Raw genomic sequence first — 15,146 nt, forward strand, 5'->3', positions numbered from 1 at the left:
AGGGACTAGTGAAAAATTTTCCAAACCAAGCTTAAACCTTCACATTAGATGAGAGCTTAGGAATTGATACAGTTCCAATTATGAAAGAAAAGCAAAGGAGAAGTCCAGTGCTATAGACTGGGAAAATATTAGGGATATAGGGAAGTGGCACAGCTTGAAGTCTACCTCTAATCCAGTACTCTTGCTTAGCATTCTACATCTTCAGAGGGCTGCATGGTTCCTATAGGTGGGGGCTGATGAGACATTTAGTCTTGCTCAGATTTGTCTCATGAGCCGGGAAGGACTCTTGAGGTAGAAATATGAAGATATAACTATGGGGAGCAAAAGAAGACAAGAAGAGGGAAAATGGAACAGGGACTAATTATTATGACCATCTCCAAACTTTAGATTGATATATTACTCAGAATTCAAGCTGTTCTTGAAACCATTACAAGAAAATCACAGCTTTAGCTAACTTCCATTTATCACAAAACAACATTCTTTGGATAGCCAAACTTACATAAAAACTGCCAAAATTCAGGTCTGCTAATGGAAAAAAACAAAAATTAAATTGCCTAGCTAGAGATTTAGTCACTCTTTTTGGCAAGACACTTTTACATTTTTATGGTGTTTTAGCTTTTCCCTATGGAGCGTTTTCTTCATGGAAGTTCTCTCTCTTAAGAATGTATTCTTTTCTCCATGAGGTTTTAACATGGTCTACAAGTTGTCTTCTCTTATTAATATCCTGTCTAGCCTTTACCTTTAATTTATAGATGATATACTCTCTGCATGGAAAATACCCCTTTGAGGAGTGCTGTGAACTGAATTTTGTCTCCCCAAAGTTCATATGCTGAATCCCCAACCCCAAATGTGATGGAATTTGTAGGGCCTTTGGCAGGTAATAGGGTTAGATGAGGTCATAAAGGTGGGGACTTCTGTAGGATTAAGATGAAGAAGAGAGAGAGATCACCCTCTTTCTCCATGCCCACACATTGAGGAAAGGCCATGTGAGGACACAGGGAGAAGGTGCCAATCTGAAAGTCAGGAAGAAAGATCTCACCAGACTTTGACCATGCTGACATCCTGATCTCAGACTTCCAGCTTCCAGAACTGTGAGAAAATGAATTTGTATTGCTTAAGCTACTCAGTCTGCAATACTTTGTTATGGCAACCCGAGCTAAGACAAGGAATCCTGGAAATGTGATTTTATTAAACATTTCTGAAGATCAACATTATAACATGTAATAAAGCCTCTCAGAAAAGTTTTGTGATTATTGTACATTTATTTTACCACCTACCAAATACTTCAAATCATCCTTCTAAGGATGGTATAAAACAGTGTCTTGACTTTTTCGAGCTGTACTCATGTAACAGTCTAAAATAAAGGTTGCTAAGCGATAGCTTCCCCAAAACCTGATCTAGCTGTTGTATGTGACTGGCTTTCTCCCACAATCCTTCTTGTCTCTCCCCTTGACTGTAGGCTTGACGGGGGGAAGAAATTATTTTCCTCTTCATCGTAGTAAAATATGTTGCTCTACTCCCAGCCCCTGGCTATTGTTACAGTTCTCCATTTTGCATCCTTCCCCGTTCTACTTCATTGTTTACTTCTTCCTAATTACATCTTTCTTCCAGGTACTTTTCCTTTAAAATAATGTTAAAAAATAAAGAATTAAGTATAATTTGGTGATGCCTCAGGCCTTATTCTGGCAACCAGTTAATCACCATGCCAGGTTTACCATTACAGTTAAACAAAATATTTGAAAGAAGGAAATGAATGTTTTATCTGTTTTTATTTTGAAAAGTCTTAGTAAATATCTTAGTCTCATAATTTCCTGCTTAAAACCATAATCAAACTGTTTCATTTCCATCTTTCTTCAACTTTAAGTTTTACTGCTTACAAAGGAGAAAAAATGGCCAGCTTTACATTCCACAAACTCTACATACCATTCTCTGTCTCACACAAAGCATCTGCAGGACATGTAGAGAAAGCTTTTGTGAAAAGAGAATTTGATAAATGCAAGTTTCCAATGTACTACAAAACTTGTGACAACAGTATCACATGAATTTATGCAATAATCATAATGAAAATATTAATAGAATATAAATACCTGAAGAGTGGCAATGCCAGGAAATGTGAGGTGACACAACAAATAAACTATTTGATTTGTAATATAGCAGATTGACAAGTATAATCTGGCTGCTTAGGTTGGAGCATCATGCTATAAGATAAAGAGTTTTGCTTGCAATGCCTGTGTATTGGCTTTTCCTTCATTAATATAAGCTGTTTTCACATTGCCAATTTTTCATATATATACATACTTTTTTTTTTTTTTTTTAGACTTAGTCTCACTCTGTCGCCCAGGCTAGAGTGGAGTGGCGCTATCTCCACTTACTGCAACCTCCGCCTCCCAGATTCAAGCGATTCTCCTGCCTCAGCCTCGAGAGTAGCTGGGATTACAGGTGCACACCACCACACCTGGCTAATTTTTGTATTTTTAGTAGAGATGCGGTTTTGCCACATTGGCCAGGCTGGTCTTGAACTCCTGACTTCAGGTGAACCACCTGCCTCGGCCTCCCAAACCAATTTTTCTTATAAGTTAATAGAATGACCTGAAAATTTAATTGCCTCCTACCTAGGTTACTTGCTTTTTTTTTTTTTTTTTTTGTTTTGAGAAAAGATCCTACTATGTGGCCCAGGCTAGCCTTAGACTACTGGGAGATCCTCCTGCCTCAAGCCTCCCAAGTTCCTGGGACTACAGGCATTCACCACTACACCAGGCTTTGCCAATTTTAATCTATAGGAGCTTATAGGCCAAATTTTAACCAAAAGTCTTCCCTGCAGTGTTAAAAATGTAAACATTTATTCCCATACGTTTCTAATATAATTTAATAAATACTAGTCAAGTGAAACAGTGGGAGTGGAGAAGGAACAAAGAAATCTGTAACTGGTTGTGAGCAATTCGTTGTAAGTACCACCGTACTTAGACCAGCCCATTTTTAATTTAAAAATGTGTTTTGATCATATATTTATACACTTGACTTTCTCAACCATTTATGAAAACTTAGAAGAGTGGGTGTTCTTTATCAAAACTGAGTTTTTTGAGGTAGAGAGAATAAAATGGTTTGTTGGGAGTTGAGGACAATATTTAGAGTTTCCTGTGTTGCAGACACTTCTCTTCTATTGAGTGAGATGTTGTTAACTTTGTTTCTTGTCTATTAGTGGGTCCTGGGAGAGATCAGAAATTCTGGGATATGTCATCTGCCCTAGGCAAGTCATTCACAATTCTGAGCATGCATACATCTTAGCTGCTTTTGAGTCTCCTACAGAATGATGGTGTGGTAAGCATGGAGCAAAGCTCTTATCACTACCCTTCTAAGGCTGGTGATGCTAGTCACTTCTTAACTTCCAGTTTGGGGAAGAAGTGAGAAGAGAGGTTTAAAAAAAAGGCACTGTTGTATTACAAACCAAAATCAAAAACAGATTTCTATACTAACTACCCTTCCAAAGGTAACACATTAGCTATACCGTTAATCTAGCAAAGCAGGGAGGAAAATGAAGGAGTGCATTTGTTTCATTAGTCTTTTCGTTTTGAGAGGTAGACAGGAGAGATAGAGATACACAAGACTCAAGTTTCTTGATACAGTAAGTATATTAAGAATATAAACGGGTTTGATAAAATGAACATTTAAAAAACATGGCACCAGGCTGATTCTTCTTCCTGCACACCTTAATGCCTAACTTTTGAAAGGACTTGAGACATAAGAATCACAATTTTAAAAAATTATAGTTTCCATGCCTTCATGGTGGATCAATTTCCATAGAAGTCTACCAAAATGACTTATCTCCATCCCAGGGAAGCAACTGCAAGAGGGAAAATGAAAGGAATGCAGTCTTTCTATGTAGGCAGAGTGGACTTAAGTGTGAGTCAGAAACACCGATTTCAGTTTGTGCGCTGCAACTTGATAACTTGGGTGATGTTTGGCTTCTCAGAACTTTGGGAGGTGAATTTGAAAAACAGGTAATGCCACACTATATAGTTCAGAGGATTACCTCAGCTTACAAACAGCAAATGAGACGCAAATGTGAGCCATAATTCACATTTCTAAGCAGTTGGAGCCCTGATATGGCACTGGGGTTACAAACAAGCGGGGAAAAATGTCAACCCAGTGATGTCATACTCCTAGGCCGGGCCCTAAGATTTTTTTGGAACCTGGCGGGCTGAGCACAACAGGGAAAGCCTCAGCACCCTGACTTGGCACAATGGTACCCTTAAGGCTCTTTGCTCACTCAGTTCTTAGTAGCTCTCCTAAAGCATGGTGGTGTTCTCTTCCAGTTCTCTGCGTAGACTTTGCTATGCTTCTCCGCCCACTGCTTCATCCAGAGAAACACTCGTATCCACAGCCTCTCCCCACTTTCCCTCACGCACGGCTCTAGAAAGACGGGGATAGGGCGCGGCTTAGGCTTTATACACCTTGCCAGCCAATGACCGCGCCGTCTCCTTTCCGGTCGGCGATCCGACCAATCCAAGAAGGTTGGTGCAATCTTCGGCTCTACTCGGCTGTTTTCGCTGATGCGGGCAGCTTGGGGGCCGCCGCCGCTAAACAGACGCTTTCCTTTTTAATTTTTTTTCCATGTGTTCACTTCCGGGTCCGGCGTCGATCCGGATGCCCGAGGCAGAAGGATGTTTGACCTCCGGATAAGCGAGGCGCTGCTGTGCATTCATTCCGGGCTGCATCGGTGGCGACAGCAGAGGCTCGGGCGGCGACTCTCCGGCCAGCGGCGGCGGTAGGAGGCACCAGCGGCAGTGCAGGGACCGAATCCGAGCAGCGCTGCGTTACCTCTCTCTCTCGCTCCTTCCCCCCTACCTCGCTCGCTCGCTCGCTCGCTCCCTGCGTGGCTCGCTTTCCTCCTCCGGCCGCCGGCGGGTGTGATGTGCCGCCGCCGCTGCCCCCGCCGGCGCTGACGGACTGGGGGCGCCGCCCGCGCCCGGGACCGACCCCTCTGCTCGCGGCCGCGCCTTTGAGGTAAAGCCCCCTGCGCGTAGGTGCTCCGCTGCCAGCCCCGGCCCGGCGGCTGCCTCGGCGCGGCCGCGGCGCCCTCCCTCCCGGGTGGGGCTGGGGTCCCGGGCGGGTGGGGTGGGGTGCGGCGGGGGCGGCGCCGCAGGCGCGGGTGTCGGGGGAGGGGTGGGCGAGGACCATGGCGGGTGGCCCGGAGGCGTGGGCAGGAGGGGGCCGCGGTCGGAGGCTGAGGGCGCGGAGGGCTAGGGGGCAGCGGGGGCCGCGGGTGGCGGGTCGGGCTGGGTGCAAAAGTTGCCGGAGTGGTGCGGCGCGACTGGGGCGGCGAGGGAGGTGGGCCAACTGGGCCGGCGGGGGCTTCCTTAGGAGAGATTGGGAGGTGGGGAGTGTCGCCCACGGTGCTCCTTGACTGTGTCCAGACAATTACCTTTGGAGTAGGGGCTTCAGGCAGGAAGGAGGCATGGATAGGCTGGGAGGAGGCGACGGGGGCCAGCGTTCAGCTCAGGGATAAACTTCCCGTTGGAGTGTTTAAGGGGTTGGGTGGGGGGACACAGGGATTTACCTGTTTCTTAGAGCTTTGACTCAGCTCAAAACTTAACCAAGACATTAGTCAAAGGTTAGCAAAATCACTCTGATGGTTACTCTCATGGTGCCGGTTTGTTTGTTTATCCCACATGCAGGGGAAGTGACACTGAGAAGCATCGGGTCTCTTGGTCCACAGCCTCCACATTTCTTTTCAGCAGGATGAGGAGGGAGATGTGTGTCTACTCGTGGGGTGGGGGTAGTGAGGCCTGTGTCATGGTCATTCCCCTTCTCCCACCTCATGTTTTAGGGAGGAAAAGTTCAGATGGGGGAGAGAGTGAGTGTGCCTGTGTGTGTGGGAGACAGCTACTGTTGATACACTGTGTGAATTACTTTCAACTCTTTTGTAGTAAGCACCCAGGCTGGTCAGTGGCTCCTTTTAAATCTTCTATTAAAATATTTACTTTAAATTAGAGAATTAAAAATGTACTTATTTTTAATGAATTAAGAAAATAAGTCATTATTTTACTTTTTGCAATTACTTAGTCCGATTCAAATGACATTTGGCCACAGATATGAGAGATGGCAAACTATATCTAAGATGGGATATAAAATGAAAAGTATATACTTTTTAAAGATGTTTCTTTTTAAAGATGTTTCTTTGAAGAATATTGGCTTTCCCGGTAAATTTAGAAGAAAAACATTACAGAAATTGTGAGAATAATGTGGAATTAGATGTGAAACTAGTTTAAGAAAATATTTTTCACCAAAAAAATCAGATCTGGTGTGTGACATTAATAGCTTTCTTTTTTTTTGAGCTGTACTTAGTGTATTTTGTAATTATTTACAAACTTTGCTCCAGTTGTATCTTAGGATAAATTGTCTTATTCTTTTGTATAGTTAACCTTTATAGTTGCACAAAAGATAAAAGATAAAAATTACCTTTATGGACATTGGAAGAAAGATGTTATCAAATACATTGTGTGGCTTTGACATACATTCTTAGCAGAATGTACAGACACTTCTGCTTTATGTGAACTGGCATTTCTGAATATGCATTAAATAGAAGTAATTATTGAAATGGGAGACAGAAAGGTTAATTTTAATGTTGTTATGAATGACATTTTTTTGGGGATCTTGAGAAACGATTGTCTTTACTGATGATTTATTATAGTCATCCACCCCCTTCTGCCATTCATCAGCTTAAACATTAGTGTGTTATGTAATTATTGACATTTTCATCATTAGATTTAGCAAGCATTTACAATATATTAACAAAATCTTCAGTACATGAAAGGCATTTATTACTTCCTTGAAAATAAAGGACTGGAATTAGTGGAATCAAGGAATAGTTTAATTCAACCAGGACCACCTTTACTCTGTGGCAAGGATGGAACAGTGGGTAGAATATGAAGATGAATGAGACTCAGTACTGCCTTCAAGGGAGAAGCAGACATACACAGAGGTAATTCACAGATTCCTGTGGGTTTTGTTGGAGGTGTATTGGAAGCATGGGGTGTGTGTGTGTGAGATACTAATTTTTGACTGGGAAATTTTGAATGGATGTAGAGCTGGTAACACTCCATCTGGGCCTTAACATAGTTTAATAGGCAAAATGGGGACTGAGGGGGTGATGGTGGGGGTAGTTTTCTCGGTGAAGGGAACAGCCTGAGGAAAGGCATGTGATTGTGTTATAGGGCTTGTTGAACTGGACATAAGGCTGTTTTGCCAGGAGGTCTTTGTGGGAGAAGCTATGAAAGTAGGTGGAGATCAGGCCATGGAAGTTCAGCTTGTATTTAAAGATGAGTCAGTTTGAGGCATGAAGGTCCAAATGTACAGATCGTAGGCTGACAGTAGGTAGGCAAATAACGATAGTAAGTTTAAGGAAACAAGTTATAATAAAATAGTCAATTTTCTATCATTGGCACTACTGAAGGAAAGCAGAAAAGTATATAATCCAAAACAATCTATATATAGTTTCGTTAAATTTCTTTATTTGCATTTAAATATGGGTGTGTCTGGTAATCTAGTAATTGGTTATACATGAAATCAATCCAGACTGTAAAAATGTGACTCAGGAAGAAATGAGAAGCTCTCCAGTTACTTCTCTGTGTCTCCTCTGATCCATCCTGTAATCCTCTCCATGCTGGGAGTAGACTTATTCTGGTATAGTTTATTGTTTCAGATGTTTTTCAGAATGGAACAAGCGGTTGTTTTGTTCCAAAGGGCTTCCCAAAAGGATGTGTCAAATTAAATAGAAGGAATGCTGAAGTATTGAATAACAAAATATAGGTCATTGAATAGTTATATTATTGTTAATAGTGAGATTTGCTGTGGATGAGATGAAATGTAAAGAATGTATATTTTCACAGAAAGTGGTTTTAATGAAGTAATTATAAAAGAATCTGTACGTGAGGAAAATTGATAGTAACAGAGGGATGATAAGATGAGAAATTTTCACAGTTCGGGATTAACGTGTGTGAGGTTTTTAAGTCATCTTAAATATTAGACGACCCTAAAATAATGTAACCCCACACTTAATCATTATCAAAGGAGTGCTTAGAAAAAAAAATCAGTTTATAAATGCAAGTAAAATCATGTTACAGGGAAAATTGTTTGAAGTTTTTTTTTCTTCTCCTAATTATTCCCCTCTTAGCTTCCCTAATTATTCCCCTCTTAGTATTCAAAAAGGACTTATAACTGAATTTGTGTTCCCTTCAACCTCCCAGTAACAACAATACCTCCTATAATTTATTAAGTGCCTACTTTGTATAGAGGCCATAAATGATACTATTACGACAACTCTGAGTTAGGTGGTGTAACCTCATTTTTGAGAGCAGGAAACAGTCTTCTAGAGTTTAAATAATGTGTTGAAGATATATCTTGGAAGTAGCAGAGTGCATATTTGAGTCAGTTTTTTTTTCTGACTTCAAAGTCTTAAGCCACCAATGATCTGTTTTTTCTTATCTTCCATCTTCATCCTTTTTTTGGTCTTTTCTCAAGCGGTTGGCAATTCGTGGTATTAATTGATAGTATGTGTCTGAGTGTTGGTTCTTTATGATGTAATTTCTTCAGAAGCGGTAGTTTTGAGGTATCTGTCTTTAATTGTGGGATCCTGTAGGTGCAGACAGTATGGTTCTGGTAATTTAAGGCACCTCAGAGCATCACCTTTTGCTGATCTGCAGGACAGAACTATGCTTGGATTCTTAATGTGTAGAAATCAAATGTGCTTTAATAATGTGAAATGATTTTCAAGGGCATCTGAACTGCTCAGGAAATATGGAATGGGAGATAAATGTAGAAATATATAACTTCTAGCGACATGGTGGAGGCTGCTGTTAGACATTTTTTCTTTTTTTTAAGCTCTCTCTGAAAGCTGAGATTTAGCAACTATAAATGTTTGGGCTTCCCTTCTATTATGAAACCTAAGGAAAGTATGTGTTTATTTGTTGTTAGACCATAGTGATTGGTTATACTCTCTCCTGCCACTTCGTGCTTATCATCTTAGTTATAAGAAATAACTCTTAACAATGAATTGAAGTGTTTATGTATTGGGGAGATAAGACACACTTTTTTGGTCGCTTTGTTTACCAATGATATATTACATAGTTGTAATTTATTGAAAATTTATGAGTAAGTTATGTCCACATGGCTAAATCATGTCCGCATTTTTCATAACTTTTCAATGGAATGAGAGATGGTCTCATGATACTCTTTTTCTTAAATACAAAGTTTAATGTTTTTTTTCTCTAGGTTAGTAATGTGAGGTTGAAGTTGTATTCAAATTTATTACATTTATTTAGATCACTTTGTGTTACCTGGAAGTACTTTCTTCAGTTGATAGCTACATTTGGAAAAAAAGGGAAGAGAGTTACCCTGTTATTCTGCCATTATATTCTTCATCAAAATGGAGGAAATTCATATGAAGTGCCAAGGACTATGTGATGCCTGCCACATAGTAGGCACTGTGTAAATCTTCTGTCCTTCATTTCAGAAGTTGCCGATAAGAATTTTAGAGGGTGGATTGGTGGGTAGACAAGCAAAGACTCTCGGGAACACCCTATTACAGGAAAATCTCTCATACCTGACCTCTGCTTAACCCACTCGTGAGATTAAATGATAGTCTTCATTCTCTCTGTAGAATTTGCTGACTGATGCTCATGCTACATTGAATGACAGTAGACTATTCTTTAGTTTTATCTTGAACTTTTATTCCCCCCAGTTACTGTAGACTTACCAAGAAACATTTGTGTTTGTACCCAACACACTGTTATGGCACTTGATGTTGTAATCACATAGTTTAATGAATTATTATTCAGTGAACTCTGAAGATAAAAAGGCGTTTGTATGAGAACCAATTGGCTACTTTGAAATCAAGTGAGTAGCCAAAATCAATTATGGTTGAAATAGATGAGGGTTAAATAATTTTAAATGATTAGGGAAAAAAAAACAAAAAACACCTAACGATCTAAAAAAATCTGCAATAATATTATTTTTCACGTTTGTAAAATGTCTTTCTGTGTTTAAGAAACAGAAACTGGAAATCACAGGTGTTGTTTTATGGGGGTAGTTTTTGCAAGAAAAAGGAAATAGAACTTTCTTCGATAGACCCACACTGGAAGAAAAGGCCATAGCTCTGTATTATAAGATTGTCTTGTGAATGGACATTTTTGTTTTAGTTGTAATAAAATGTATAGAGTTTGTAGATGTTGAGAAATGATTTCCTTTTTAGGCTAACTTCAGAACCATTTATTAATTGTAATATATTAAAGAAGTCTGCTTCTAAAACATCATCTTTCCTAGTTTACACTACTGCTTAGAGATTTATTTAATAACATCCTCTTTAAGAAAAAAAAAAAAAAAAAGGAAGATCCTGTTATTCCCAGAGGTTCATTCCTTAGAGTGAATTGTTTATCTAGTCAGGTGATCAATCTATGGTTCTCACATATTTCCCAGTATGGTCCCTAATCTGATTTCATAAGCTACCTTTCAACTTTTATGTACTGTCAGGGTTGAAGGGGTAAGCCTTCTTATAGTTCCAACATCTCCATCCAATTAGGAATGCTGGGGTAGAGGAGATTGTTCTTTGAAGGAGGAAATGTGACACCCTTGATATATACCAGGAGCACTTGAGCCTCCTATCTCACCTAGCTCAGTCCAAATGGAAAGGAGAACTTTCAGTTGAAGGAGCAGGAAGTCCAGGTTGGAGAAGGAGTGGTATATGTGGTATGCTATTTATTTTGGTGTAACCACATTGCTTGCTGAATTACAGTAGATGCTGAAATGGCACATTGAAGTATGAAGGTAGGGTGGGTGGCTCCAAGCTAGTACTTGAGAGCTCTGGTCTGCCCCTCTGTGATTTTCTTGGCTGTTTGTCTTCTGTGTGTTGGAGTCATCCTAAGGCCAGCAGCAAGATCACATCTAGACATGCACTGGCCAGAGGATGGAATGGATCTCTCTCTCTCTTTCTGTCTGTGTCTCTGGAAAAGCAAATACATCTTTTGCATAAGCCTACCAACATATTTTTCTCTTCGTATCTTATTGACCAGAATTAGGTCACATGAACGTCCTAACTAGTTATCATAAGGGAAGTAAGGTTATCATGGTTGGTTTCTACTAATCAGGAGATACCTTCTGCAATTGGTGTTGGGATCACATTTTTCTGAGTTAGATGGAAGAGGGAGGATATTTTAAAAAAATTGTGGGAAGGAAGAATTTGGGGGATATGGATGTTAGAGAGATGATAAATAGTGATCGCTGTGTCTACCTGTTTTGAAGCGATTCTCGTGCTTCAGCGTCCCAAGTAGCTGGGATTACAGGTGCATGCCACTGCACCCAGCTAATTTTTGTATTTTTAGTATACATGGGCTTTCTCCATGCTGGCCAGGCTGGTCTCGAACTCCTGGCCTCAAGTGATCTGCCTGCCTTGGCCTCCCAAAGTGCTGGGATTATAGGCTTGAGTCACCGTGGCTGGCAAGTTACTTTTTGAGACGGAGTTTTACTCTTGTTTCCCAGGCTGGAGTGCCATGGCATGATCTCGGTTCATTGCAACCCCTGCCTCTTGGGTTCAAGTGATTCTCCTGCCTCAGCATCCTGAGTAGCTGGGATTACAGGCAGTCGCCACCTTTCCTGGCTAATTGTTGTATGTTTAGTAGAGACGGGGTTTTGCCATGTTGGCCAGGCTGGTCTTGAACTCCTGACCTCAGGTGATCTGCCTGCCTCGGTCTCCCAAAGTGCTGGATTACAGGCATGAGCCACTGTGCCCGGCTGGGTCTGAATATTTTAGGAGCTAAAAACACTACTTTATTTTTTCATTGGCTAACTTTGAATCAATAAAATAGGTGGTGAAGTTGAAAGATTATAATTTTTTTCTATGAAACTCATGAAGCCATTTAATTTTACATTAAAATTTTTTCCTATAAACTTGTTTAAATTTTTTTTTCTGCATTGTTGCTTTCCTTCCTCACCATGAAGTTGCCCATACCTTTGATTTCATTGATTACTTTGCTTATCATATCTAGGGGAGAATAAGTGCATTGAGGAAATGGGAGTTTCTTGGTCAGAAGGATTTATTTTGAATCCTGGAATTCCAGTGAGATTGGAGGAAAGGATGGTTTTTACATATTTTGAGAGCAGCAGAGTTGGTAAGGGGTTGGGGAGGAAGGGAAGGACCATAGGATTTTAGACTTAAAATGAATCATAGGAAGATTGAAATGCTCAAGCCACACACCTGATTAGTAGAACTCTTATATCCTAATTACTAGTGGAGTGCTCTTTCTGAGTAAGAATTAGGAGGCCATAATAATCTTGTCTACTTTACAGTTTTGCTCAGGACTGTGGGCTACCAATGTAAATCAGTCAGCTAATCACCTTTAGTACAGATACCTGTGTTCTTAGGCTTTGGAAAAATTTAACCAGAAGTTTTCTTTTTTTTCCAGTAAAATAAGTAAACAGACAAAATTTTTCAGCTTGCCTCAAGCAGTCAACAACAATGACAACATCACACAGAAAGACAGGCAGACACACACACATGGAATAATCTTAAACCTAGCCTGCTTAAATGAAAATGCAAAAGCAGACTGTTTGGGACAATTCATTATTTTATTTTCAAGAAAATGATCTTAAGCATTTCTTTACCATCAATATATGTAAATGAAAGGAATATATATGTGCATATATACTATACATGTATACATAGATACATATATGTATGGGTTGTAAGTATATGGAGTAAATCCATCCATCTTCTGGAAGAATATTTATGTTAATGTCAGTTGTTTATAAATGGTGAGATTTAGGATGATTTTTATTTTTATACTTCATTTACTTCTCTATATTGTTTGGGTTTTCAGCTGTCACTGTGCATTATTTCTACCATCAGAAAAAACAGTAATTTTTTTTTTTTTTTTGAGGGGGGTAGAATCTTGGGGTGGGATGTGTTTTCTACCAGTTTAGATTTTAATATATAACTGCTTTCCTTGTATATTACCATGAATAAAGTGTGCCTCAAATGTATTGATACTTTGCAGATTTCTTTATGTTTAAAATTGGATGTATTAAAATTACTTATCTTAAAATTTTAAATTGAAATTGGCCATATAATATCTTTTGGTACAAATATACATTATAAAATTAGTGGACTTCTGAATATTTTGAAATTATTGTGTTATTTATTTTTTTAGTTTGTTTGGTTTGACTTCAGGTGGTATACTAGGCAGTGTATTAGACTGTGATTTATTAGAGTTAAAATTATATTCAGAATTTCCTTTAGTAAAAAGGGAAGTGAAAATGTTTTTTTTCTTTACACCCACTGTGTGTCATGTTTATTTTCTATTTCTGTGAAATACTTATTTTATATTCTAGCAATGAATACTTTCAAGTGGCAGGCAAATATATTAGGTAATCAGGACAGAAGAGAGAAAATTTATGGTATTCTATAAGTCTTAGGGTGTGCAAATTTATGACTACAGGACCTTTTAATAAAATTCTAATTTGGAGTACAAAAATAGTCTAGTATTGTTTTGGAGATGAAACTAGTAGGTGTCAGTTTTAGATGACCTTGAAAAAAAGTGTTTATAGATGCATATTTTTTACAAAACATTATTTTCTTTTCTACATTTATTTTAGGGAATCTGACAACAGTCTGACTCTCCCTACTCCAAAAATGTAAATCTTTAAATCTTAAAGATGTGGAATCTTGTGATGCCAGTTTTTATTTTAAAAAAAGGATCTTTACTGAGTACTTTTTCTGTCATACGAGTATCAGGATATATTGTTGCTGATGTGTCTTTATATAATTGAGATTCTGCAAATGTTTGTAGTTAATAAAGTATCAAAATATAATCAGCTCCTTAAGATAATTGTTTTGAGTATTTTCTGATATCTATTGAAAGTCGATAACTAGAATGCATATTGTGAGTTTGCTTATTATTGTATGCTTTGCTGTTTACCTTAATACCTACTAATGAAGGTGGTTTTTTTAAGACTGAAAAAGAAATCCTGAGCATTTGGGAATGAGAATATCCAATAAGCTAAAATTAATTTTACTATACACACTTGTTTAAAAATTTCCAGTTGAAAATTAGTAATTTTTCTTCTGTGACAGAGTAAATGAAAGAAGAAAAATGGACAATTTTAAAGATAGTTCATGCAGTCCTTGCTATGGGCTGGGAATGCTAACATTTAACTAAATAGATGAGAGGAGGGAAGGATTTGTGGAGAAAGTTTTTACTAGTGGTTCTTGGCCCGAGTTCATATTACAGTTTTCTTGGGAGCTTAAAAAAAAAAGACAGATGTTGGGATTCTACCCATGCTAATTTATATTCCATAAATAATCAGTAGGGCCTGGAAAGGGCTAGGGCATTGATATATTTTAGGATTTCTACAGACGATTCCAGTGTCCTGCAGGGTTGAAAATAACTAATTTCTCCTTCTTTTTACACTCTCAGCCCTTTAAAAAAATGGCTTTCTTTTATTTTCCAACTGTCTTTTTAAAATTTGAGGTGGAGGTATGAAGATGACACAGAAGAAAATGCAAAGAAAATATTAGCAAGAGAATCAAGTTAAAGTAGTGGCTTCTGCTCATAGCTTCATACAGTTCCTCAGATTCGTTCCAGGACCCCTCATGGCTATCAAAATCCAAGGATGGGCTGGGTGCTGTGGCTCACCCCAGCACTTAGGGAGGCAGAGGCAGGCGGATCACGAGGTCAGGAGATTGAGACCGTCTGGCTAACACGGTGAAATCCTGTCTCTACTAAAAATACAAAAAAATTAGCGGGGCGTGGTGGCACACGCCTGTCGTCCCAGCTACTTGGGAGACTGAGGCAGGAGAATCGCTTGAACCTGGGAGGTAAAGGTTGCAGTGAGCCGAGATGACACCATTGCACTCCAGCCTAGGCAATAGAGCGAGATTCTGTCTCAAAAAAAAAAAAGAAAAAAAAAATCTGAGGGTGTGGCCAGGTACCTGACATAAAATGGCACAGTATTTGCCTATAACCTTTGACACCTTCCCCTATTCTTTAGGTTATTCCTGGATTACTTGTAATACCTAATACAATGTAAGTGCTGTGTAAATAGTTGTTATGAAGTATTGTTTAGGGAATAATGATAAAAAAAAAAGTCTGTGCATG

General features: G+C 39.2%; 1 protein-coding gene across 51 annotated transcripts in view, besides 5 other annotated features; it reads left to right on the forward strand.

The window, feature by feature from the left end:
- Positions 4,323-4,382: an enhancer, noted in NCBI's record as "active region_23003". NCBI's record gives its function as "activates an Ori minimal core promoter by ATAC-STARR-seq in GM12878 lymphoblastoid cells {active_cell/tissue: GM12878}" and the evidence as "EXISTENCE:reporter gene assay evidence [ECO:0000049][PMID:35858748]".
- Positions 4,543-4,752: an enhancer, noted in NCBI's record as "active region_23004". NCBI's record gives its function as "activates an Ori minimal core promoter by ATAC-STARR-seq in GM12878 lymphoblastoid cells {active_cell/tissue: GM12878}" and the evidence as "EXISTENCE:reporter gene assay evidence [ECO:0000049][PMID:35858748]".
- The window catches only part of CSNK1G3 (casein kinase 1 gamma 3), a 104,873-nt gene continuing 94,337 nt past the window's right edge, over positions 4,611-15,146 (forward strand). For 43 of the 51 annotated variants that reach the window (XM_017009059.2, XM_047416755.1, XM_047416763.1 and 40 more), the window contains exon 1: positions 4,611-5,004. The gene's annotated coding sequence lies outside the window, so the exon portion shown is untranslated. Of the gene's footprint in view, positions 5,005-5,551; positions 6,983-15,146 lie in introns of those variants that run through there. The other 8 variants (XM_017009060.2, XM_047416765.1, XM_047416768.1 and 5 more) reach the window with 6 other exon arrangements.
- Positions 4,933-5,022: a silencer, noted in NCBI's record as "silent region_16275". NCBI's record gives its function as "represses an Ori minimal core promoter by ATAC-STARR-seq in GM12878 lymphoblastoid cells {active_cell/tissue: GM12878}" and the evidence as "EXISTENCE:reporter gene assay evidence [ECO:0000049][PMID:35858748]".
- Positions 5,193-5,262: a silencer, noted in NCBI's record as "silent region_16276". NCBI's record gives its function as "represses an Ori minimal core promoter by ATAC-STARR-seq in GM12878 lymphoblastoid cells {active_cell/tissue: GM12878}" and the evidence as "EXISTENCE:reporter gene assay evidence [ECO:0000049][PMID:35858748]".
- Positions 5,783-5,932: an enhancer, noted in NCBI's record as "active region_23005". NCBI's record gives its function as "activates an Ori minimal core promoter by ATAC-STARR-seq in GM12878 lymphoblastoid cells {active_cell/tissue: GM12878}" and the evidence as "EXISTENCE:reporter gene assay evidence [ECO:0000049][PMID:35858748]".

This window comes from Homo sapiens, chromosome 5 (genome assembly GCF_000001405.40).
Source record: "Homo sapiens chromosome 5, GRCh38.p14 Primary Assembly".
Taxonomy (NCBI): domain Eukaryota; kingdom Metazoa; phylum Chordata; class Mammalia; order Primates; family Hominidae; genus Homo; species Homo sapiens.